The following is a 23,718-nucleotide window of genomic DNA, read 5'->3' on the forward strand; positions in this document are numbered from 1 at the left end:
AAAGCACACAAATGGCCTACCATCTTTTATTCTTCCTTCTAGCTTCTGGAGAGAGAAATGATTGTTCCAGTTTAGAATGCCAGGAGTTTACTGGGTGTTTGTATTTTTTATCTGTGCCTTAAAAAAATTAGATTATAATGAACAAGACATCTTTATGTTTTACAGGGAAGGAAAAAGCAGTGAAAGTATGCATTTTCGAAAGAAAAGTGTGTTGGGAAAAGAGAGAGAGGGTGGAAACCCAAAGGAGAAATAAAAATTTTAAGTCCTTGTTGCAGTAGCTGGAGGAAGTGAGCTTGGAAATCTCTCCAGCGCAATGGTTGCTGGCTGGGAAGAAAGATCTGACTTAGACACAGAATAAGCTGCTTGTGCTGGGTGTGTTTGTGAGCTGGGTGAGGTTTTCTGTGTCGCTGGGCACGTGAGGGAAGTTACGTGGCTGGGGGGTGGGGTGGGGGGCATTAGAAGGGAGTATGGGTGTCTGTGGGCGCTCGCGTGTGCGTGTATGTGTGTGTGTGTGTGTGAGAGAGAGAGAGAGAAGGTAAAATTAACTTTGTCCTATATGTTGGTTTCTCTGCTAGAGTCTTAAGGAACTTGCAGCTGCATTTTTATTGTTTCAATTACAGCATTCTCTCTAGGATTGTTGGTGTTATTTGGGTGATGATGAAGGCAAGGATTAAGAACAGAACTGGACAAGTGAAAATTGAATTTGGATTAACCACAGTTTGATTAATTTATTCATAAGATTGTGACTATATGAATTTTTTTCAACAACATATCCTTAGTTATCAGGTGTCCACTCAATTTTAATTGACAATATAAGATTCCTATGGTAACCCTGTGTACAGATTGCCTAGGGGCTCTGCAGGGATTGTGGGAAGAGAAGCTTGGACAAGTTTCCATTAAGATCTGAATCAGGCGATTGGAAAAGAAGAGAATAAAACCAACTGAAAAGAGAGGGACAAGTTGTTAGTGTTGCCTACTCTGCTTTGAAGGAGAACCCTCCTCAGACAAGAGCTACTTTCTGGCCAAGAATTCCAGGCTCGCAGAGAAACCTGTCCCAGGCACAGAAGTTGTTTTAACATGATGCAGAATTGTCACAGTAATTAGTGCAATCTCCGTTTACTGACTGGCAGTTTTTACACAAAGGAGATAGGGACAAAGGGTGCAAAGTCATCTTTGTTTTTCAGCAGGTCACTTTACTTATTTATTTTTATTTTTTATTTTTGAGATGGAGTCTCACTCTTACCGCCTAGGCTGGAGTGCAGCGATAAGGTCTTGGCTCACTGCAACTTCTGCCTCCTGGGTCCAAGCAATTTTCCTGCCTCAGCCTCCTGAGTAGCTGGGACTATAGGCGCCCGCCACCACGCCTGGCTAATTTTTGTATTCTTGGTAGAGACGGGGTTTCACCATGTTGGCCAGGGTGGTCTCAAACCTCTGACCTCAGGTGATCTGCCCGCCTCAGCCCCCCAAAGTGCTGGGATTACAGGCGTGAGCCACTGCGCCCTGCCAGCGGTTCACTTCAGATACTGCTTCTGAGTATGTGTGGGGGGCTGTGTGTGGGGGACAGATCTTCTGTTGTTTTAGGGCAATGTGGTTCATTACTCTCCTTTGACAGGTATAGGGTTTTTTTCCCACCTACTTCATTGTGTCTCCTTTTAATTTTGATTAATATTCTGTTTGGGGCAAGCAGACTTACATTATATCTATATATAAATATATATGTAATGTTTTCTATTTGTTTATTTGGAACAGATAAAATGATCTCAGAGCCCACTGCATCCTAAAATGGATATTTATAGACTTAGCCCATGAACAACATGGATTTAGACTATTTTTTTTATGGGATTACTACCCTTGTGTTTATTTTGAGTTAGTTCAAAAGTTCTTATGTGATTTTTTCCACTTTTATTTATTTTTTAAAACTGTGTGGACTGAATTGTTTTTCTTCCAGGGAGCAAGATACAAATTATCTGGATCTGAAACTCGCAGCCTAAATTACACTTTGTGCTAGTAACACAGACGTGTTCTGGTAGTAGTAATAGCACAGGAGTAGTAACGGTAGTTTATTATAATACTACAGATCCATTTTTGGAAATGCAGTTGATTTGCCTGTTGCAAGGAGGGGAAATGGACATCAATTTCACAGGGTCATCTGATTCCTCATTAGTAGTTCCTATTTGGCAAATTAAAATGCATTTTCAGATAATTGTTGAGATCCTTCAGTGATTATTGTATTGTTTATAAAGTAAATCAGCAGATGGTGTTTGTTTTCCCAATTGATGGGATCCCAAGATTAGCAAGTATTACTTGGGAAGATGAGAATTGGGTGAACAATCTTGCTCTTCCTATTTCGGGATACCTGCTTCATTGATGGGTGGTCTCTAGGACTTCAGAGGGAAAGGCTGAGGATAGACTTAGACCTTGGGGAGGGTCTGAGCCAATCAGTGACTTACATTCACTCAGTTGCCATCTAATAGGTGGTCCTCCCTTAGAAAATTGGCGGCTTTCTGGCAGTGTTTGGCCCTCTCTTTGGGGAAGTGTGGATTACTAGAGTGCAGGCGACAGAGATGGCCTGGGATGGACAGCTTAGTCATCATGAAAGAATGTGTAAGGCATCGGGTGGCCCCTGAATTCTGTCTGACACATTTGTTTTCCCAGAAATAGAATTGCATTGGAGAGTTGGGGCCCAGTTATTAGAAATATGGGGATGGGGTGCTTGTACTTGTTGCAGTCTTGTGGCTTCTCATAATCTTTTCTCTCCTAATCCTTCCTCTTGCCTACATGTTGCAATTCTGATGACTTTTTGCAGCGCACAGTTCATTTTTCTTCAGCATCCCGCTCAGCACACTGGCTTCCTTTATGTCTTAATGGGCATCCGTCTTTCCTTTTCATGTCATTGATTCTCACTCGTGGCCCCCATCTTCCCTGTATGCTTATTGAATAGGTGCTTAAAAAACAAAAACAAAAACAAAAACAAAAAAACTTTACCTTAGATTGTTATGATCATCTTATCCATAGCAACAAATGAAAGTACACAGGTCTTGATTGAATGCCAAGGCTGCAGTTCAATCTAGGAAGGTTTGTCTGCTATTCATAAACTGCTTAAGATGTTTTCTTGTAGTTTGTGACATAAGCAGAACGCTTTGATTTGGTTTCTTTCTACAGCTCCATTTTCAGTCCGGCAGCACACATTACTCTGCGTACAAAACGATTGAACACCAGATTGCAGTTCAGGTAGGAAACGCAAGAGATTCTGAAGCTTGAATTGTCTATATGTAGGTCTCTTGTGTGTTTTATTCTCCGCCCCTTCCCCCAACTGAGATAATGATGATGATGATGATGATGATGATGGTGGTGGTGGTGGTGGTGATGGTGGTGGTGGTGGTGATGGTGGTGGTGGTGATGGTGGTGGTGGTGGTGGTGGGGGGGGGTTGAATCACTGGGGGAGAAGGGGAGCAAAGGAGAGAGAAGCAGGAGAAATGCTGCTGAAATGATTTAGAGATATGGAAAGAAAGAGAAGGCTGTGCTTATTGTTAAGAGTTTCTTGACCGGGCATAATGGGCACACAGACCCCAGCTTGACTACTGTTTTTCTTTGCTTAGGGAGGGATCTTGAATTGGGAGTAAAACGGGGTGGCACAATGTGAATGGGAAGGCTTAAGGGGAGAGGTGGGAGAGGAGGCCGTGCAACAGCCAGAGGGTTGTTTCTGGTGGATCAAAATCATGTTAAGTGGTGCTAAGAATATCTCTTTGGACCTGATCATCCTGAAATGTTGATTTCTCTTGGACCTGTCTATGTATGACACTAAATGTGCTGGAAGGGAAAGGCGACAGATCCCAGCTTCTGATGAGTGTCCTGTTTCCTGCTCACGTAGTACTTCCATTCTCTTAAATCCGAAGGCTAAACAAATCATGGACTAATATAGACTCGGAGCTGAACTGATGCCAGCAGAATGCAGTAGAGGAGGGAGAGCAGACTAATACGATTTTCGTCTGTCTGCCTGGCCTTGCTGGGATGGATGTACCTCATGGTGTAACTAATGGTACCAAAACTTCTTGAGTGTTCTGGCTTAACCCTTTGAAGGGATTCTCTTGAAACCGTTTGCTGTAGTGTTGAGGTCTAGCTGGAGAGCCTTCTTTTTTTGTGAGTTGATGTTGGTTTGTTAGATCATTTGTGTTATTCCATGACTTCTTTTCTGGGCAAGAGCCCTTGCAGATAACTTGTCTGTGTGTGTGTATATGTGTGTGTGTGTGTGTGTGTGTGTGTGTGTGTGTGTGTGTGTGTGTGGTCTTAGGTAGCTGCAGCCACAATGCATCTTTGTAGCTCTGTCATCTCAGTTCTGCATCTTCCTTGATAAGACTTCCAGATAGCTGTTTGCCCCAGGTAAACGGAATTATTCCGCCAGTGAAAAGCATGAGTCAGCAGACATTTTTATTTGGTGCATTCCTAGTGTTTCTGTACTCATTTTCAGGCCACAGCAACTTATTTTAAAAATATTTGAGGCTGGGTGAGGTGGCTCATGCCTGTAATCCCAGCACTTTGGGAGGCTGAGGCGGGCGGATCACTTGAGGTCAGGAGTTCGAGACCAGCCTGGCCAACATGGTGAAACCCCATCTCTACTAAAAAATGTAAAAGTTAGCTCAGTGTGGTGGTGGGTGCCTGTAATCCCAGTTAATCAGGAGGCTGAGGCAGGAGAATCACTTGAACCCGGGAGGCGGAGGTTGCGGTGAGCCGAGATCACGCCACTGCACTCCAGCCTGGGTGACAAGAGTGAGACTCTGTCTAAAATATATTTATATATATATATATATATATATATATTTTCTTTTCTTGATTACTTCTGCAGTTGTGCCGCCAACCTTCTTATGTGTGTCTTTTGGGGGAAAGTGTGACTCTTGATTTTACCCTTCTCCACTCCTAACTGTTTCCAAGACTGACATGTCTTTAACTTGAGGCTGCAATTGTTCTTTTTGGCATGCTGCCCATTTGTCCCTCCTTCTTCCTTTTGATGGACAGCATAGTAAGTCTTGCTCCCAGAAAGTGCTTTAGGTGCGGGACTTGGTTAGAGAACAAGCCCAAACCCTAACTCCTGGTGCCTGAGTGGATGTACAACTCTTGGTGAACGGGTGGATGTACCATGTCGAGGCCTCCTACATCTCGGGTAGTGCTGGAAAATCTTATTGCCTGGGGTGTGGGAATTGTTGAGGTTGAATAGGATAGTGATCCTTATCTTGGTGTGGAAAGGCTGGCTGGGGCCATGTCACTGGGAGACTAGCCCAGACCAGACCAGCTGTTGTATCTTTACACCCGTTGCTGAAGTGCCCCTTGTTAGGCCGAGCAGTTCGTCTTTCTCCAAACCACCTGGCACGGTGCAGGCCATGTGAAGCTCTTTCTCAGGAGGAAGATGGAGTAAATTACAGAGCTCATTGTTTTGGAGGACTGAAACCATTACTATTCCTCCATGAACAGGTAGTATTGTTCTCTGCTTCTATTTGCTAAGGCTTGATGCCCATGTGGGCAAACAGAGAGACATTTTATTAGAGACCCAGCACCATGCTTTTGCAGTGTTCATTCTCCCTCAGTCTCTGCTAGACCCGCACAAGGCCAAGCTAAATGGCATCTAGCTGTAATTTTAGTTTGATCCTCAAAGGATAAATGGAAAAAGCAAAACCAAAGAAGCAAAGGGAAAAGAAGGGGAAAGCTTAGACGAAATGAAATTGTTCCCAAAGTACATTGGGGAGCTCATAATCTTTTCGCTCTGGATGTGGCATAGAGCAGATATGTTCCTTTCGCTCCATTCTCCAACTTAAGACTAAATGCAGCGTGATTGTCGGGGCAGAATTATTGTCCCTGGAAACTTAAAACTGTTCAACCTTAATAAATACTAGATTTCAATAGAAGCTGAGCTTGTTGCTCTCCTAAGCTACATCCTAAAATAACCCAGAGTACTATGACCCTGTGCATCACATTAGACTCATACGACTCATACTCTTTTCCCTTCCCATCCCTCCTGTAATCTCAGGACTCAGCCAAGCTCACTGTTTATATGAATGGCCTTGGGTGATTCTATAGACACGTCACTTTCTTATAAAAGGTTTGGACACAATAGCAGTTGCTATGTTTAGATCTTTCCTACTTTTGACAGCCTCCTAGCTCCCCTTGGTTTTGAAAAGACAAGAGCAACTCAGATGGCCACGTTCTCCCAAAATGGATAACACAAATGAAACTAGAAAGAAAATTAAAAGTTTTTTTTTTTTTTTTGAGACGGAGTTTCGCTCTTTGTTGCCCAGGCTGGAGTGCAATGGCGCGATCTCGGCTCACCGCAACCTCCGCCTCCCAGGTTCAAGTGATTCTCCTGCCTCAGCCTCCCGAGTAGCTGGGATTACAGGCATGTGCCACCACGCCCGGCTATTTTTGTATTTTTAGTGGAGATGGGGTTTCTCCATGTTGGTCAGGCTGGTCTCGAACTCCCGACCTCAGGTGATCCTCCTGCCTCGGCCTCCCAAAGTGCTGGGATTACAGGCGTGAGCCACCGCTCCTGGCCAAAAATTAAAAGATCTTTTAGAAAAGACATTGTTTTAAAATTCTATTGACTTTTAAAATGTTTTATTGAAGTATAATATACATGTAACATAGTACACAGAACTTTAGTAGAGAGTAGAGAGGTGGATGAAGTTTTCCATATGTGAACGTCCATGAAACCATTACTCAGATCAATATATATAGAATGAGGTTGGGACACCTTTACTGTCAAGGGCCAGACACTAAATGTTTTGGGCTTTTTGAGCCGCTCAGTCTCTGTTGCAACTACATTTGATCCTTGAATGGCACAACATGAGTTTGAACCACATGGATCCACTTAGACATGGATTTTCTTCTGCCTCTGAGACAGCAAGACCAACCCCTTCTCTTCCTTCTCTTCCTCCTCTTCCTCCTCAGCCAACTCATCCCAAAGACGGCAAGGATGAAGACCTTTATGATGATCCACTTCCACTTAATGAATAGTAAATATGTTTTCTTTATGATTTTCCTAATAACATTTTCTTTAGCTTACACTATTGTAAGAATACAGCATATAATATATACATAAATTATATATTAATTGACTGTTTATGTTATCGGTCAGGCTTTCAGTCAACAGTAGGCTATTAGTTAAGTTTTTGGGGAGTCAAAAGGTATACTCGGGTTTTCTTTTTCATTTTTTTTGAAACGGATTCTCATTCTGTCGCCCAGGCTGGAGTGCAGTGGCGTGATCTCGGCTCACTGCAACCTCCGCCTCCCAGGATCAAGCAATTCTCCTACCTCAGCCTCGCTAGTAGCTGGGACTACGGGTACCTGCCACCACGTTCGGCTCATTTTTTTGTATTTTTAGTAGAGATGGGGTTTCACTGTGTTAGCCAGGATGGTCTCAATCTCCTGACCTCGTGATCCGGCCATTTGGCCTCCCAAAGTGCTGGGATTATAGGTGTGAGCCACTGGGCCTGACCTATACTCGGCTTTTCAGCTGTGTGGGGGTTCGGTGTCCCTGGCCTGGGGGTTCAGGGGTCAACTGTACTCAGCGCTTCTATTGTGGTTTGAAAGCAGTCAATGATAAACCCAAAGGAATATATATATATTCCTTGTTGTGTCTCAGTAAAACTTTATTTAGAAAAAAACAGGCAGTGGCTGTATTTGGTCCCAGAGGCTAACTTCTGATAAAGAGCTCCCCAGAAGTCTACCTTGTTTCCCCCTTTTTCCAGTTATTTGGCTTCTTCCTCTCTCCCCTGCCCCCACTGAAAAGTCTGTTAGTTTTATTTATCACTGTGGATTAGTTTTACCTGTTTTTTGACTTCATGTAAATGGAATCTTATAGAATGTACTGTTTCATGTCTGGCCACACTCAGCATATGTCTGTGAGTTTCATCCATGTTATTTTGGGTAGCAATGGTTTGCTCTTTTTCATGGCCAAGTAGTATTCCACTGATGAATATGCTTCAGTGCATGCATCCTTCCTACGTTGTTGGATATTTGGAGTGCTTCCAGTTTTTTTGCGATTATGAATAAAGTTCTAGTAACATTCTCCCACACATCTTTTGGGGAAACATATATTTCCATTTCTGTTTATACACCAAGAGTAGACTTGGAGGGGCATGGGGTAAATGTGTGTTTAGTCTTGCACTGACCTTCTGAGAGAGACTTGAGTGCTGGATTTGAGTATTGTCATTGCAACAGGGCCAGTAGTTGTTAGGTATGTGAGTGATACGTGTAGGGTGAGCAGTAAATTTATCTAGGTGTGATCAGAGGCCAATTGCCCAAGCTCCGGTGCAGGCCCCTTCATGCAGTGATTTGGCCTTTGGCCCCAGCTCCTAGGAACTCCTCCCACTGTCTCCATTAACCTGGGAGGAGGACTAGCAGGCTGAATTCCAGAGGTGGACCCACATTGCAGATGTGTGTAAACAGAGCTGTCTCCCAGGAATGCCCTGCAGGTGATTGTAGATAATGTTTAGGCATCTCTATTGCCTTCATGAAGAAAGCCCTTCCAACACTCCTACTCTCAGCATTATTCCAAACCTATGAGCACTGTTGTGATGAAGGTCGAGACCCACAGAAGATGTTTCCCTTGGTTTTTGGAAGGGCTACTTCTGAGCCAATTAAGCCTTTGTTTTAAGAGCGTTTTGGCCAAAGGTTAATGTTTTAACACCAAGTCAGATGTGATTTAGGAAAAACCTCCACATGCAGCAAAAACAAACTGTGTAAACCTTTCTTGGTTGTTATTCTTTTTAGATTTGAAGTGGTTTGTGTGTGTGTGTGTGTGTGCATGTGCGCGCTTGTGCGTCCACACAAAGACAACTAGGAGAGGATCCAGAAGAAATGGACCATTTTATTTGTTTACACAGCTGAGGAGTGGATACTGTGCAGTGGGGGTTACTTTCCCTCTTGTTCTTATGCTTGCAAGTTCCCATCTGAGCTTTACCAAAGCCTAACCTTCTGCTTGGTCTTAGAACTCCTCCACCATGAATCAGTAAGGCCACCAGGACCCTCCTCCAGGGCCTGGGTGCTTTTTGGAGCCAAGGAGAGAAGAATACTAACTGGAGAGTGTCCTTACCCCATGTTGGCCACTTATTCCTGGATGTGAACTGGATGTTCAGTCTTGTCCGTGTCTTAACATTGTTAAGATTCCTGGGGTGCGTTGACACAGAGTCTATGTCTGTGTCTGAGCAGACCCTTCATACTGTGATGAGCATGGCCAGAAATTAGTACCAGCGGACTGGCCCAGCATTGAAGAATGAGGTGGCAGTGTTTGCAGGGCGCTTGACTTTCTCCCACTTCAGGTTTTTGATGAGGGTCTCTTGTGTTCTGGGCCTTTCCTCTCACCCATCACAAGTTCCCTGGCCTTCTTGTTTTCATGAGGATTTGCTCTCTTGGCTGAGCAGCAGATCCAGGCTAAGTGAAGAACTCCTGGAAACAGGTTCAGCCCTTGGTGCAGTCACTTCCTCACGTTTCCTTTAGAGCTGTAGCAGACTTAGGCTGTGACATTTCATGTCCATTTTCCACAAAGGAATGAAGAATTAGAGAGAGATCATTTCACTAGAGTAGTTTGATAGAACCTGTGGATGGCAGGTAACTTGCTCAAGAGGTTCATTGACTTGCTATGGTGATGAGTTTTAACCTAATTAGCTAATTTAAGTCCATACCTCAGAAGAATGTTCATTCATGAAAAATATTTGCATCTAATGTGTGCCAGGCCACTGGAGAATTCATCAGTGAGCAAAACAGACAAAAATCCCTTGCTCTCACCAAGCTTAAATTCTAGTGATATTTTAATATTAATTTTTAATATTTAAATTCTAGTGATACTGACTTATAAACACCCCGTTCCCAAACTGAGTTAGGTTTCCAGTGTAGTCCAGGAGTTAGATTTTCCTTTTCTTTTATTTTTTTTGAGACAGAGCCTTACTCTGTTGTCCAGGCTGGAGTTTTTCCTCTGCCTTGCTCTGTTGTCCAGGCTGGAGGTTTTTCCTCCGCCTCCCAGGTTTCAAGCGATTCCCGTGCCTCAGCCTTTTGAGTAGCTGGGATTACAGGTGTGCACCACCACACCTGGCTAATTTTTGTATTTTTAGTAAAGACGGGGGTTTCACCATGTTGGCCAGGCTGGTCTTGAACTCCTGACCTCAGATGATCCTCCTGCCTTGGCCTCCCAAAGTGCTGGGATTACAGGTGTGAGCCACCACGCCCGGACAGGAGTTACTTTTTTTTTTTTGAGATGGAATCTTGCTCTGTCACCCAGTCTGGAATGCAGTGGCGTGATGTCGGCTCACTGCAACCTCCGCTTCCCGGGTTCAAGCAATTCTCCCGCCTCAGCCTCCTGAGTAGCTGGGACTACAGGTGTGTGCCACCACACCCAGCTAAGTTTTGTATTTTTAGTAGAGACGAGGTCTCACCATGTTGGCCAGGCTAGTCTCAAACTTCTGACCTCAGGTGATCCATCTGCTTTGGCCTCCCAAAGTGCTGGGATTACAGGTGTGAGCCACTGGGCCTGGCCGTCATTTTTTTCTTTCCTTTTTTTTTGAAGCGGAGTCTCGCTCTATTTCCCAGGCTGGTGTGCAGTGGTGCGATCTCGGCTCACTGCAACCTCTGCCTCCTGAGTTCAAGGGATTCTCCTGCTTTAGCCTCCCGCTGGCCGTCATTTTTAATCAGGGTTGTGATTTTCAACCTATTGAAGTTTGAGAATTGCTGCCTTAGAGTCTTCTGAAACCAATCAATTGATCATTTATTGGCTGTCCCAGTCATTTTCACTAGCCAAATAAAAAGTGAGGGCTGGCTAAGTACTACATTGGGATAATATTTTCTTATTTTGAATGAGAAATTGGACTGCCCTTATGTTCCAGTGAGTTTTTGAGGCCTTTATTTTCCCATTCTTATGTGAAGACAGCCAGATACTTTTGCAAAGCTTGAGAAAAAGCATTTGTTTATGGAAGAGTAGCTTGGACAATAAGGTGCTTAGACTTTGGGGTCAGAGGCAATAACAGTAGTTAGTAATAATAGCTGCTTATGCTTATTGAATTCTCTTGAGGGATCCAGTGTTAAATGCTTTTTGTGAATTATTATTACTATTTTGAGACAGGGTCTCACTCTGTCACCCAGGCTGGAGCACAGTGGTGTGATCATAGCTCACTGCAGCCTCGACCTCCCTGGACTAAGGTGATTCTCCCACCTCAGCCTCTTGAGTAGCTGGGACTACAGGTATGCATCACCACACCTGGCTAATTTTTGCATTTTTAGTGGAGATGGGGCTTCGCCATGTTGCCCAGGCTGGTCTCTAACTCCTGAGCTCAAGCTCTCCGCCTGCCTTAGCCTCCCAAAGTGCTGGGATTACAGGCGTGATCCACCGCGCCCAGCATATGTGAATTCTTTATTGATTCTTCATAACAACACAGAGGGAAATTTGAAAGGTGTAGTTACTGGTATTATCACCATTATCCTCATTTTGTAAATGAGGAAACAGATACCTGAGATATTTTGCCCAAGGCCAATTAGGATTCAAACCCAGACAGTGTGACTAGAGAGAGATTGTCCTACATAGGCTTATGGTAACTATTGCCTGCTCAAAGTAATGCTCACAGTGGTCTAGGGGTTCCCTTACAGCAGTGGCTACCAACCAGCCTTCTGGGCAACACACATAGAAATCACGTGGGACCTGGTAAAAAGTACAGAATCCTGGGTTCTACTCCTTGGAGATTCTCATTTAGGGATTAGGTCAGTGTTTCACAAGCTCAAGTATCACCTGGAGGGCACCCGGAGAGCAGACTGGGAATCCACCCCCAGGGTGTCAGGTTCTGTAAGCTTGGAACGGGTCCTGACATTTGCAAGCTTTTAATTAATGCTGTGTTCCTTCTCTGGGGATAGCTCTTGGAGAACCACCGGACTAGGGCAAGGGTTCCCAGCTTGGACTGTTAGGTTATACTCACTCAGGAAGCATTTCAAACAATATTCAGCCCAGGCCCTGCCCTAGACCAACCGAGTCAGCATCTCTGGGGGTTGTGGCCTGTGCATCCCTGGGTTGCAAAAGCTTCCCAGCTTTTAGTGAGCAGGCCAGGTTGAGGCATCTGGTCTAGGGGATCCTGGAATCTGCTACCACTTCCCCACACTGGATGATTCTAATGCACACAGTCACACTAGAGAACAACTATTGTAAGCCTTTTTTATTGTTTAATTTTAATTTTATTTATTTATTTTTGAGATGGAGTCTCACTCTGTTACCCAGGCTGGAGTACAGTGGTGCCATCTCGGCTCACTGCAACCTCTGCCTCCTGGGTTCAAGCTGTTCGCCTGCCTCAGCCTCCCAAGTATCTGAGATTACAGGTTCTTGCCACCACGCCCTGGCTAATTTTTGTATTTTTGGTAGATACGGCGTTTCACCATGTTGGCCAGGCTGGTCTTGAACCCTCACCTCAAGTAATCTGCCCGCCTTGGCCTCCCAAAGTACTGGGATTATAGGTGGGGGCCACTGCACCCTGCCAATTTTTAATTGTTTTGTAGAGACGGGTCTCACCTTGTTGCCCAGGCTGATACAGTCCATTTTAATAGGCAAGGAAACAGGTGCATGGAGGTGAATGGGTTGGTCCCAGTTCTTACCACTTGGTGGACACGGGACAAGACAAGAATCCAGGAGTCCAGTGCAGCTATCTTTCAACACGGCTTTCTTTCTATCTTTCCAGGAGAGGTTATCATCTTGTCTAAGCCAATAGCAATTGGATTACATTGGCCAGATAAAATAAAACAATCTAGTTTTACCGTTTTTACTTATATCATTTTAAAACTTATATCTGTTTTAATTATATCATTGTATTTGTACGAGTTGAGATATTTGTATCTGTTCATTCTCCACCATATTAGGGCACTTAGTTCGGAAGAGGGCTGGTGAGGATACCAAGACAATGTCTGGTAGTCTTTAACTGGAACTACCAGAAAGAAAAAAACAACTGTCGTATCAGCCATACGTGTGCCTCTTATGGGCCACGGCAGGTGGGCCTCGAGGTCTGACCTATGGCAGTCAGCTGCTGGTATTTTCTTTTTTTTTGTTTTTGTTTTTGAGATGAGTCTCGCTCTGTTGCCCAGGCTGGAGTGCAGTGGCGCGATCTCGGCTCACTGCCACTTCTGCCTCCTGAGTTCAAGCAATTCTCTGCCTCAGCCTCCCGAGTGGCTGGGATTACAGGTGCCTGCCACCATGCCTGGCTAATTTTTTTGTATTTTTAGTAGAGACGGGGTTTCACCATCTTGACCAGGCTGGTCTTGAACTCCTGACCTCATGATCCACCCACCTCGGCCTCCCAAAGTGCTGGGATTACAGGCATGAACCACCGCGCCCGGCTGTCTGCTGGTATTTTCTTAGCATAACTTCATTTTGTAAATTCTACTTTATAATATTATTTTATAAAGTCCCTGAAAATCATGGGATTGTTTAGCTGAGCACAGAAATTTCTAAATGGGTTGTGACCAACATTTACAGGCTTATCAGGCTTAGTAGTTAATTTGTTTCTTGAGTTTGATTTGGTTGCATGGTATCAAATCCTGATCAAACAGATAAGTGGTTGCTTCTTTTTTTTTCTTTTTCTTTTTTTTTTACTGGTTTGCCTTGAAATCTTAGCATCCACTTCAGTTAAACAGAAATGGCATTACCTGTTCCCGGGGGTTCCACCAAAACCACTGGTTGGATGGTAGTGTGTTTAATAGTTAATGAATACTACATTGAAATGTAAAAATAAAGTTTAAAAGTAGGTACGTGTACTATATTATCTCTATATTTATATGTTATAAAAAGAAACATTCACATCAAACATATGTGGAGTCTTTGAAGCATCTTCACAAAATCCTAGTGTTTTAAGGGGTGCAGCTAGGAAAATACTTGGTTATACCACATTCCACCCAGATTGAGGCTCGGTCTGGAAACTGGCATGTCTGTGTCTTTGGTTAGTAGTAGGGGCTGGATGAGATAGGATGACTTAATGCAGGACTTCTCAGCCTCAGCACTGTTGACATTTTGGGCTGGAGAATTCTTCGTTGCAGGGGACCATCCCGTGCATTGTAGGGTGTTTATTTTTAAATTTTATTTATTTTTATTTTTATTTGAGACAAGAGTCTCACTCTATTGCTTAGGCTGGAGTGCAGTGTTGCGATCTTGGATCACTGCAACTTCTGCCTCCTGGGTTCAAGGGATTCTCATACCTCAACCTCCCCAGTAGCTGGGATTATAGGCGTGCACCACCATGCTTGGCTAATTTTTGTATTTTCAGTAGAGATGAGGTTTCACCATGTTGGCCAGGCTGTTCTCAAACTCCTGACCTCAAGTGATCCGCCCGTCTCGGCCTCCCAAAGTGCTGGGATTACAGGCGTGAGCCGCCATGGTCGGCCTGTAGGGTGTTTATTTAGCACCATTCATTGACCTCTTCCCTCTTGATGCCACTGGCACCCAACAAAAATGTGACAACTGAAAATATCTCTAGACATTGCTGCATGTCCCCTGGGGATCAAAATCATCCCTTGGTTGAGAACCTCTGACTCAGTCTAATAGTTTAAAGCATGCATCCTACCATTGATATTATACTATATTACCTTTGCATTTTAAAGAAACAGGTACGAGTGGAGGTGAATAGTTCAGTTCCTGCTTCTGGAGTCAGGTATATCTATCTGGGTTTGAGTGTCGGCTCTGCTAAGCTTCAGTTTCCTAAATCTGTAAAATGGGGATAATGGCAGTACCTGTTTCTAGAGTTGGGAGATTAAACAAGGTAAGATATATAATGATCTGGGCAGTACGATGATACAGGGAAGCGTGCTTGATAAATGTAAGCTGCTATTTTTACCATTGAGGATTATGAAGTACTTGTTTGCACATTTAGAATATGCTTTATCCCAACATGCATTGTGTATTTTTTATTTCCTGTCAAGAGCATCACACATGATAAATTTGATAACTTGGACTATCTTTGCTGTGTAACAAAGATTTATGACTCCTATTCCTGTTGGTTGCTGTTTGCATTTCTCTTATGTCACTGAAAATTTTTTGCTGGGTCCTTGTTACATTTGACTAGAATATAAGCACTTCTGAAGGGCTAAGATTGTGTCTTACTCAGAGATTGTGTTTTACTCATATTTATATCCCTGTAGCACCATGCACTAATTTCCTGGGACATCGTAGGTGTACAACTAGGGGTGTGAATGTGTTTGAATATCTAATTGTGGGCAGAAAGGAAACAGTATATAAGTGAGATTGGGGTAGGTGTATATTAGAGGTAACAAAGTGTGCTTTTAGAATTTTTAAATAACAGCCCCTTTTATAATATGAAAGACCAAAAATAATTTGTTTTTGTGCTCAGCCAGGTAGTTTGAGATGAGTGTTCGACCACTTTGTCAACTTGGTGTTCTTTTCCACGTATCTTAGATTTTGATTCCAGCTCTCCATCAGTGCGTGAATTTGCACTGCTGTCTTAGAGACTATGGCATCATCCAAACAGTGGTAACTATGGTTGGACTGGTGTCTATTTCTATGACCATCTTCTGATTTTCAGAATGCTTAGAGGTTAGTTGGCTTTTAAAAGCAATATTACCTTTTTTTTTTTTTTTTAAATGTCAGGCAGCATTACCTGTCAGATCATAATATTTTCATACACTTTGACAATTGTCATTCATTCCTGCAGGGGACTTCAAAACAAATTTTAAACAAGATGTTTTCCTAATTGTGGATGGATGAGCCTGCACAGACAGATTCATTCTTTTCTCTTTCCAAACCTCGTGCCTCCCAGATTTTTGAGGTTGAGATGAAGCACCAGAATAAATAGCTTTGGTTGCAAACCAGAAATCTTCCAAGGCTTGAAAATGGATGTGTGTGATAGTAGCCCATTCTAGGGGTACTGGAAGATTCTTCTCACTAGGGCTTTGGTGAGGCTGCCCTGTAGGGAAGAAGTCTTGTGTCAACAGTTTTTAAGTTGATTCAGTAAGCATTGTTGATGATTGAAATTGAAGAATTGTGAAGACAATTCATCTTGAGGAACAGAGAGCATAGGGTGTGAGCCAGGCTGCTGGGAGCAGACATTGACATACGGGCCGTCATCAAACTAATTGTTGTTTGAATTACCTGTTATGATCCGATGACAAATCTGCCTTGCTCCTGCCACTGGAGCAGAAAATGTAGCTTGAACTGGCGTGATGTTAGCAAGTGTAAACTGTACTTCAACAAGATGGATAAACCCAATTATGGGGCAGACCTGTAGAGAGAAAATCCATTTAAATCTCATAATGTTAAGCAGAGCTGTGTTTAATTCATTTGGACCAATTTGGGAATGATGTATGAGTGTTGGTGAACATTAGTCAAAGAGGGGACCACTTGGGGGAAAGGGATGTGCCGATGCCGCAGGCCACTCGGGGGAGGCAGCTGGGGTGTCGTCTCAGCAGCCTGCACTAATGGCGGGGAAAGGCAGCAATGACCAAACGATGTACTGCCTGCTGTCGGGGAGCAGCGCTGTGTAAATAAACCAATAAGGAAAACATACGAAGCAGAAAGGAGAGGAGTTGTTTTTCCTAAATGCTATTGACAGCCCAAAACATAAAGGAAATTTGAGGTTCCCTTTCTCTATTTCTAAACCCTGAAACCCGTATGGGCTCTGCTAAGCCTTGTAACAGGAGGCCTAGAAAAAGCTCTTGCCAGAAAGCTTAATGATGATTTGAAAGAGAGAAAGAAAAAGGACAGCTAAATTTAAATTGATATCTTGGGGCATTTGATTCTCTATTGGAAAACAGTTAAGAGGGATTATTATTTTGAAATATATGTCTTATGCATATTTGAAATGGAGTCTAGAAGGTCTTGTCTATTTAAAAATCTCCCTCTCTATTTTTTAATAGCTACTAAGTGGTGACCCAGCTTTGCACATAGTGGGTGCTGAATGTATACTGATTAGGTGAATGAAAGCATTGAACTTGAGAGGCAGTTTTCAGAGCTAGATATTGGTGTTTTCTGTACCTCAAACTCATTAGGATGTATAAGGACCTCATATCCTAATTTCTCATAGTAGTCTTTTTTGGCTTTCATTCCCAGGAATTTTGTGATTTTTTTTTTTTTTGAGACGGAGTCTTGCTCTGTCACCCAGGCTAGAGTACAGTGGTGCGATCTCGGCTCAGTGCAAGCTCTGCCTCCTGGGTTCATGCGATTCTCCTGCCTCAGCCCTCCCGAGTAGCTGGGACTACAGGCACCTGCCACCACGCCTGGCTAATTTTTTTTTTTTTTTTTTTGTATTTTTAGTAGAGATGAGGTTTCACTGTGTTAGCCAGGATGGTCTCGATCTCCTGACCTTGTGATCCACCTGTCTTGGCCTCCCAAAGTGCTGGGATTATAGGTGTGAGCCACCGCGCCCGGCCAGATTTTGTGATTTTTATATAATAATATATGATTCCACTTCTTTTAAAATATACATATATATTTTTATTATACTTTAAGTTCTAGGGTACATGTGCACAACGTGCAGGTTTGTTACATATGTATACATGTGCCATGTTGGTGTGCTGCACCCATTAACTTGTCATTTACATTAGGTATATCTCCTAATGCTATGATTCCACTTTTTATCCCTACTCCTACATTGTTGGTTTTGCCAAGGATGTTCTTAGAAGACTCCAACCCTCTTTTATGTGGGGAGGAGGTGCTAAAGCCCCCTAGTGAGTTGGTATTGTTTTTTTTCTCTTTTGATTTGGGGGGTTTTCATCTTTCATGGAGTGGACTGGCCTTGGAGACTTCGCCTGTTGAAAGGAGAACTTAAAAGACTGGAGTGCATAAGGAGCTTGGCAATGGACCGCCAAGACATTCATGGTTGTGCACTCTTGCCTCAGTACCCATAAATCTAATGATTGGAAGTGCTGGGTGTAAGTGGAGGTTAAAGCCCTAGAATTTGTTTTCTGTAACTGGGGACAGTTCATTGTATGAGGTCATGGTGCACATTGAGTGCCCATTCCGGGCACATCTTTTATCCCAGAGTCAAATTCGTTAGGATTTTATACCACTTTCTGGCGTTCTCCAAGTTTCAGCTTAGTTGAAGAACCAGTAAAAGAATGACAATAGACTGGGTGCGGTGGCTCATGCCTGTAATTCCAGCACTTTGGGAAGCCGAGGCGGGCGGATCACTTGAGGTCAGGAGTTCGAGATCAGCCTGGCCAACCTGGTGAAATCCTGTCTCTACTAAAAATACAAAAAATTAGGTGGGTGTAGTGGCATGCACCTGTAATTCCGGCTACTGGGGAGCTGAGGCAGGAGAATTGCTTGAACTGGGAGGCGGAGGTTGCAGTGAGCAGAGATGGCGCCACTGTACTCCAGCCTAGGTGACGGAGCAAGACCCTGTCTCAAAAAAAAATAAAAAAAATAAAAAAAATAAACGAAGACCTCACAGTTATGTTTCAACACTATGAATTCTGAGAATCTGAATTTTCTGATCTAGTTACCAGTAGAATGTACGTAAAATACTTTGAGAAAATTTAAATTAGCATCTCCACCAAAAAGCCCCAGCACATTTAGCCCATGATTTGACCTGCCCAATGGGAGTCTTCCAAATCATTTAAGAACAAGTAAGTACTATTAATTAAATGAACTTGGAAGAAACATATCAGGATGTGCTTCCAAATCTGAAGGTATTTGTGCTGAAAGAATCATCTGTTGTGTTCCATGAGTTTTATGGGGGACTCTGTCTGGTTTGGCTCAAAAGCATTTGTCAGGTTTATACTCCTGAGGGTGGGGTATACACAGTGTGAACTGGGCAGGCAGTGAATAAGGGAATTTCTGGAGAACAGACCCTTAAGGAAAAGAAAGCCTCCGCTTTGCGGGTTAGAATGGCCAGTGTATGTTGGGGGCAAGTCTTTTCAGGGCCTTCTGTGGTTTTTGTCCTGGTGAGCTTACTGCTTTCTGATGTAATAGCAAAGCTGAAATCTTGCAGTAATGTGCAGAGAGGAATTTTTGTCCTTTGGATTAGCTTCTAAGATATAAATATATAGCAAAAGACCCAGGGCTACTTAATTTGATACAGAAATGAAATGGTGAGTTATCTAGATAAGGGCTTGATTGATTTATGAAATGTATCAGACTCAATTCAGGAGTGTTCCGGGAGTCACGAAGTTCGGAACTAGATTCTTACCCTTAAAATCAAAAACAAACCTCCCCTGCTTCCCTCCTCCTGGTCTTAAGTCACTAGTTTTTATTCTGGAATCCAGCGGCATTTGTTTCTTTTTTTTTTTTTTGAAACGGAGTCTCACTCTGTCGCCCAGCCTGGATGGAGTGCAGTGGCACGATCTTGGCTCACTGCAAGCTCCGCCTCCCGGGTTCATGCCGTTCTCCTACCTCAGCCTCCCAGTAGCTGGGACTACAGGCATCCACCACCACGCCCGGCTAATTTTTTGTATTTTTAGTAGAGACGGGGTTTCACAGTATTAGCCAGGATGGTCTCGATCTCTTGACCTCGTGATCCGCCCGCCTCAGCCTCCCAAAGTGCTGGGATTACAGGCGTGAGCCACCATTCCCGGCCAAAGCATTTGTTTCTTAATAATTGCTGAAGAAGCCAAGAGTTTCCTGTTAATTAAAAAGAGAAATCACTGAAGCAATGTATAAAGACACTTTTTTCTTGAAAGAGAACTTAAAGGAAGATTTGAAAGTGTCCCTAAGCTAAGAACATTCTTACCAAACCACCAGTATGTTTTAGGCAGCCTGCTTTGCTTTGTGTTTTCTTGTCACTTGTTGCTGTTGCTACATTTTCATAATGGTGAAAGCAGATGAGAAATGTCTCCTCACAGAAGATACGATTTGTGAAGCTGTTTCTCTCTGAAGAATTGGCACTCAGGGCTTGAATTTGAGCAAGTAAAGGGCATCAATAATGTGATGGGCCCCTTTCCTTGGAAGAGACCCGTCCTCAAAAAAAAAAAAATAAAGAAAGAAAAAAAGGGGAAAAGCTGTGTTTTGCTTGGGTGACTTTTCAGCTTGGTTAAATTTGCCAGTTTATCTCTATCAGAAAATAAATCCTAATACTCCTGACATGATTTTGTCATTTTAGGATCGTTTAGGAAAAGCATCAAGTTAGTTTTTGCTGATTGGGTTGGTACCTCCGCCATCCTTAACTGTTTATTTAATAGTCATAAATTGAGAGTTTGGTGTTTCCTACCACCACCCTCTTTGGAATTTTTGGTCAAGATCATCTCCAGCCACCAAGTTTGCATAGCAGTGAAAGGAGCCCGACAATGACTTAAATGTGACGGGAACCAATGATGTGACTTGTAAAAAGTACACAGAGAAAACCACATGCCACATGCAAAGCAGATATGGTTTTGATTTCGGCCTCAGTGGTTCTCTTATCGTTTCTTTCGCCCTGAGAGTGGATTTTTATCTTTCGATCTGACTTCTGTTTTGGTCATGGTTTGTGGTTTCCTTTTGCCATCACAGCTCTTACATTTGGCTGCATGGGAACCAAAGTGACCAGGACTCCTGGTCGGTGGAAGTCTCAGGCAAGGCAGCCCCAGCATGCCAGCCCCCAGGAATATTGAGACTGCTGTGGCTTCAGAATTATTGCTCCTGTCCTGCTAACTCACAGGCTCCCCACCTGGGGATTCTTATCCCTCTGTCTTTGCTTCTTATGTAATACGTCTGTGGACTATTTTGGAAACATCTAGATGAACTTGTGATCGATCTTCCCATTCTATGTATTTCTCCTGGTTCCCTGCTTTTCTATCATCTCCTTTGGGAGGGAATATTTTTCCTCATTAACTAGTTTCCAGGTCAAAATTTCTCCATGAAGTATGAACTTTTCTCTATCCCAGTATTTAATTTCCACCACTTTTTTTTTTAAAAAATAACATAAGGCTGAAACTTTTTAATTGGGCAGGTTACTTAATTGCTATGTGGCTCTATTTTCTCATCTGTGAAAAGCAGGTTTACTGAGAAGACTGGCCTATCACGGGGATTCATGTGAGGCTCTGTCACAGGGGCCTAGTCCAGTACCTGGCACATAAGAAAGGTTTATTGGGTTTATGACTATTCCCAGTGGGGTGTTTCTGGGCAAACTGGGATAGCTGATCACCCTAACACAGTTGTTATTAAAACTCTTGCCAAGCTTACAAGTGGTGATATATTGTGGCGCATATCTCTTTTTTTCCCCGCTTGCTTAGTACCTCATAGCGGAATCTGGACTTGAGTTATTTCTCCTGAATAAGAGTAGTCCAGAATACCCTTTATTTTTGTTTTCTTCTTTGAGATGGAGTCTCACTCTGTTGCCCAGACTGGAGTGCAGTGGTGCGATCTTGGCTCATTGCAGCCTCCATCCACCTCCCGGATTCAAACAATTCTCCTGCCTCAGCCTCCCGAGTAGCTGGGACTACAGGCACGCACTACCACGCCCGGCTAATTTTTGTATTTTTAGTAGAGACAGGGTTTTGCCATGTTGGCCTGGCTGCTCTTGAACTCCTGACCTCAAGTGATCTGCCCACCTTGGCCTCCCAAAGTGCTGGGATTACAGGTGTGAGCCACTGCCCCTGGCCCCAGAATACCCTTTGAAGAGAGTTAGGGTGAAAGAGTCCATGTTGTGATATCATTTGTCTCCCCATGGAGGGAAACCAAAAAGCCTGGGGGTGAGATGGGACTTATAATTATTATTTAGCTTCTGATGGGCATGAAATTAGTGACAGCAAGGCAGGAATTTGTGGCCTTTTGGTTGTAACGTCTGCTCTGTTTTTGTTTTTTGTTTTTTTGTTTTTTTTTTGTCAGATTTCTGTTGCTTAATACTTCATTAAAAAAATAAATTTAGGCCGGGCACGGTGGCTCATGCCTGTAATCCCAGCACTTTGGGAGGCCGAGGCGGGCAGATCATGAGGTCAGGAGATCGAAACCATCCTGGCTAACACGGTGAAACCCCGTCTCTACTAAAAATACAAAAAATTAGCAGGGCATGGTGGTGGGCGCCTGTAGTCCCAGCTACTCCGGAGGCTGAGGCAGGGGAATGGTGTAAGTAAACCTGGGAGGTGGAGCTTGCAGTGAGCCGAGATCGCGCCACTGCACTCCAGCCTGGGCGACAGAGCGAGACTCTGTCTCAAATAAATAAATAAATAAATTAATTAATTAAAAAGTCATCCTTTTCAGTTCTCAAATGGCAGAGGTCTGCATCCTGCCTTGCGAACCTATTAACACTCCTTTCTTTCTTTATGTGGGGTTTCCCTTGGGCCTCTGTGGTCAGGCTATTGTTTGTCTGAGTTTGTAATAAGCGTGTAACAGCCTCCAATTTGCCTCAAAGACAAGTGGTGTTAGTTGGTTACTAGGGACAGGAGACCTTTGGAAATTGTGATTGGAAGCTAACTGTTCCAGGGTCCCTGGGTGCCTGTGTCGTATGGGAGAAGGCACTGGTGTTTCACTGCAGGTGAGTCTGTGCACACAGCATAGGTCAGCTTGTTGGAACTTTCTTGTGTGTCTCTCCTGAGGAAGCAATCAGTTAGTGGCCACGAACCCAGGCCTGTTCACACATAAACTTAGATGACAGTGGTGCAGTAGGGAGCTTGTCCAGAATGATTTATTCTCAAGAGTGGTGAAGACATAACTTCGATTCTCCCAGTCGACTTGAAAACAACCGTTGTTTTCTTTACACCTTCTGATTCCAGAAGGTACAGTTTAAACCTCCCTCATTTGCAGCAGGCTGAATTAAAACACAGTGCTTTGGGATCTATTTATTGCTATCTGTCTTTAAGCTTTCAGAAGCCAAAATGAAAAGAGAAATCAGAAAGCAGTGTTGGTCAATAGACTTTCCCCCCGTACTTACCTCCTTTTGACTTGGGGAGCTGTAAAACAGTAGGTTATACCTTCCCACCCTTCCCCAGCCCCCTTCAGAAGACTTGTGTTTCAGCAGGCTTTGTGAATCAGAAAGCTATGTTTTTGTTTTTGTTTTTTTTTGGCATTTGCCAGAACTCTATAGCTGTTCAGTGGCCTTAGGCTGCGGAAGGCCTGTTTTCCTCCCCTCCTTTACTCTAATTTGTCCCGGGCATTCTGGCTGATGGCATGGCTTTTTAGCAAGAGCAGTGCCTTACCTCTTTAATTGGTTAGTTCCTCTAAGTGATGATTTATTCCCTACCTATCAGAAATGTCTTAATTTACTTAATTGCATAGCCCCCCACCCCTTTTAAGTCCCCTCCCTCTAAAAAAAAATTAATACCAACAATAAAACTATTTCCCCAGGCAGTGCATTGTGAGATGAGGCATTTTTCTCTGGGGAGAACCTTGTCTTTGTGTATGGCAGTGGGGAAGAATTAATTAAGGGAGAGGATGAAGCTTAGTAATTGAAGTTAGGGGCCCAGGAGCTCTGAACACTCCTAGGTCTGCTATTAAATTATCTGGCTGCAGATAGCTGGTTCTCTGGGTCTTGGTTTGCTCATCTGTGAAATGCCCCCACAGGATGGATGCAGTGGTAAGACCAATTAATTAGAAGCCATAAAAGTGTTGTTTTATCTGAAGTTAAGCATTTTTGTTGTGATAAGGAGGCGTTCTGGGATGATGGATAAAACGCTTTGGCACTGAAGTCAGACGTAGCTGGGGACTCAAGTCAGCAGTGTCCGTTTATTGCCTGTGGGACCGCCCTGAGCCTTAGTTTTATCTATAAAATGGGGATAAAACCTCTCTCCGAGGATTAAATGGGATAACATGTACAGCGCCACAGTGCTGACACAATGGCCCATGCTAAGGAA

At 43.5% G+C, this 23,718-nt stretch overlaps 1 protein-coding gene across 15 annotated transcripts in view, besides 4 other annotated features; it reads left to right on the forward strand.

The window, feature by feature from the left end:
• Positions 1 to 23,718, forward strand: part of TCF7L2 (transcription factor 7 like 2) — a 217,432-nt gene that overhangs the window by 11,147 nt on the left and 182,567 nt on the right. For 4 of the 15 annotated variants that reach the window (NM_001367943.1, NM_001363501.2, NM_001146274.2 and 1 more), the window contains exon 4: positions 3,163 to 3,231. The exons of the other annotated variants lie outside the window; for them this stretch is intronic. In NM_001367943.1, the coding sequence (NP_001354872.1) occupies positions 3,163 to 3,231 (69 nt within the window). The remainder of the gene's footprint in view (positions 1 to 3,162; positions 3,232 to 23,718) is intronic. 15 annotated transcript variants of the gene reach the window in all.
• Positions 1,429 to 1,929: an enhancer, noted in NCBI's record as "H3K4me1 hESC enhancer chr10:114722581-114723081 (GRCh37/hg19 assembly coordinates)". NCBI's record gives its function as "activates a minimal SCP1, AML or CMV promoter by ChIP-STARR-seq in primed H9 embryonic stem cells {active_cell/tissue: H9 hESC(primed)}" and the evidence as "EXISTENCE:reporter gene assay evidence [ECO:0000049][PMID:30033119]".
• Positions 2,437 to 2,731: an enhancer, noted in NCBI's record as "tiled region #3715; HepG2 Activating DNase matched - State 14:Gen5', and K562 Activating DNase unmatched - State 9:DNaseU". NCBI's record gives its function as "activates a minimal TATA promoter and a strong SV40 promoter by Sharpr-MPRA in HepG2 and K562 cells {active_cell/tissue: HepG2 | K562}" and the evidence as "EXISTENCE:reporter gene assay evidence [ECO:0000049][PMID:27701403]".
• Positions 3,717 to 4,011: a silencer, noted in NCBI's record as "tiled region #6419; HepG2 Repressive non-DNase unmatched - State 17:Gen3'". NCBI's record gives its function as "represses a minimal TATA promoter and a strong SV40 promoter by Sharpr-MPRA in HepG2 cells {active_cell/tissue: HepG2}" and the evidence as "EXISTENCE:reporter gene assay evidence [ECO:0000049][PMID:27701403]".
• Positions 20,354 to 20,403: a silencer, noted in NCBI's record as "silent region_2835". NCBI's record gives its function as "represses an Ori minimal core promoter by ATAC-STARR-seq in GM12878 lymphoblastoid cells {active_cell/tissue: GM12878}" and the evidence as "EXISTENCE:reporter gene assay evidence [ECO:0000049][PMID:35858748]".

The sequence above is a fragment of the Homo sapiens genome, chromosome 10, assembly GCF_000001405.40.
Source record: "Homo sapiens chromosome 10, GRCh38.p14 Primary Assembly".
Classification (NCBI taxonomy): domain Eukaryota; kingdom Metazoa; phylum Chordata; class Mammalia; order Primates; family Hominidae; genus Homo; species Homo sapiens.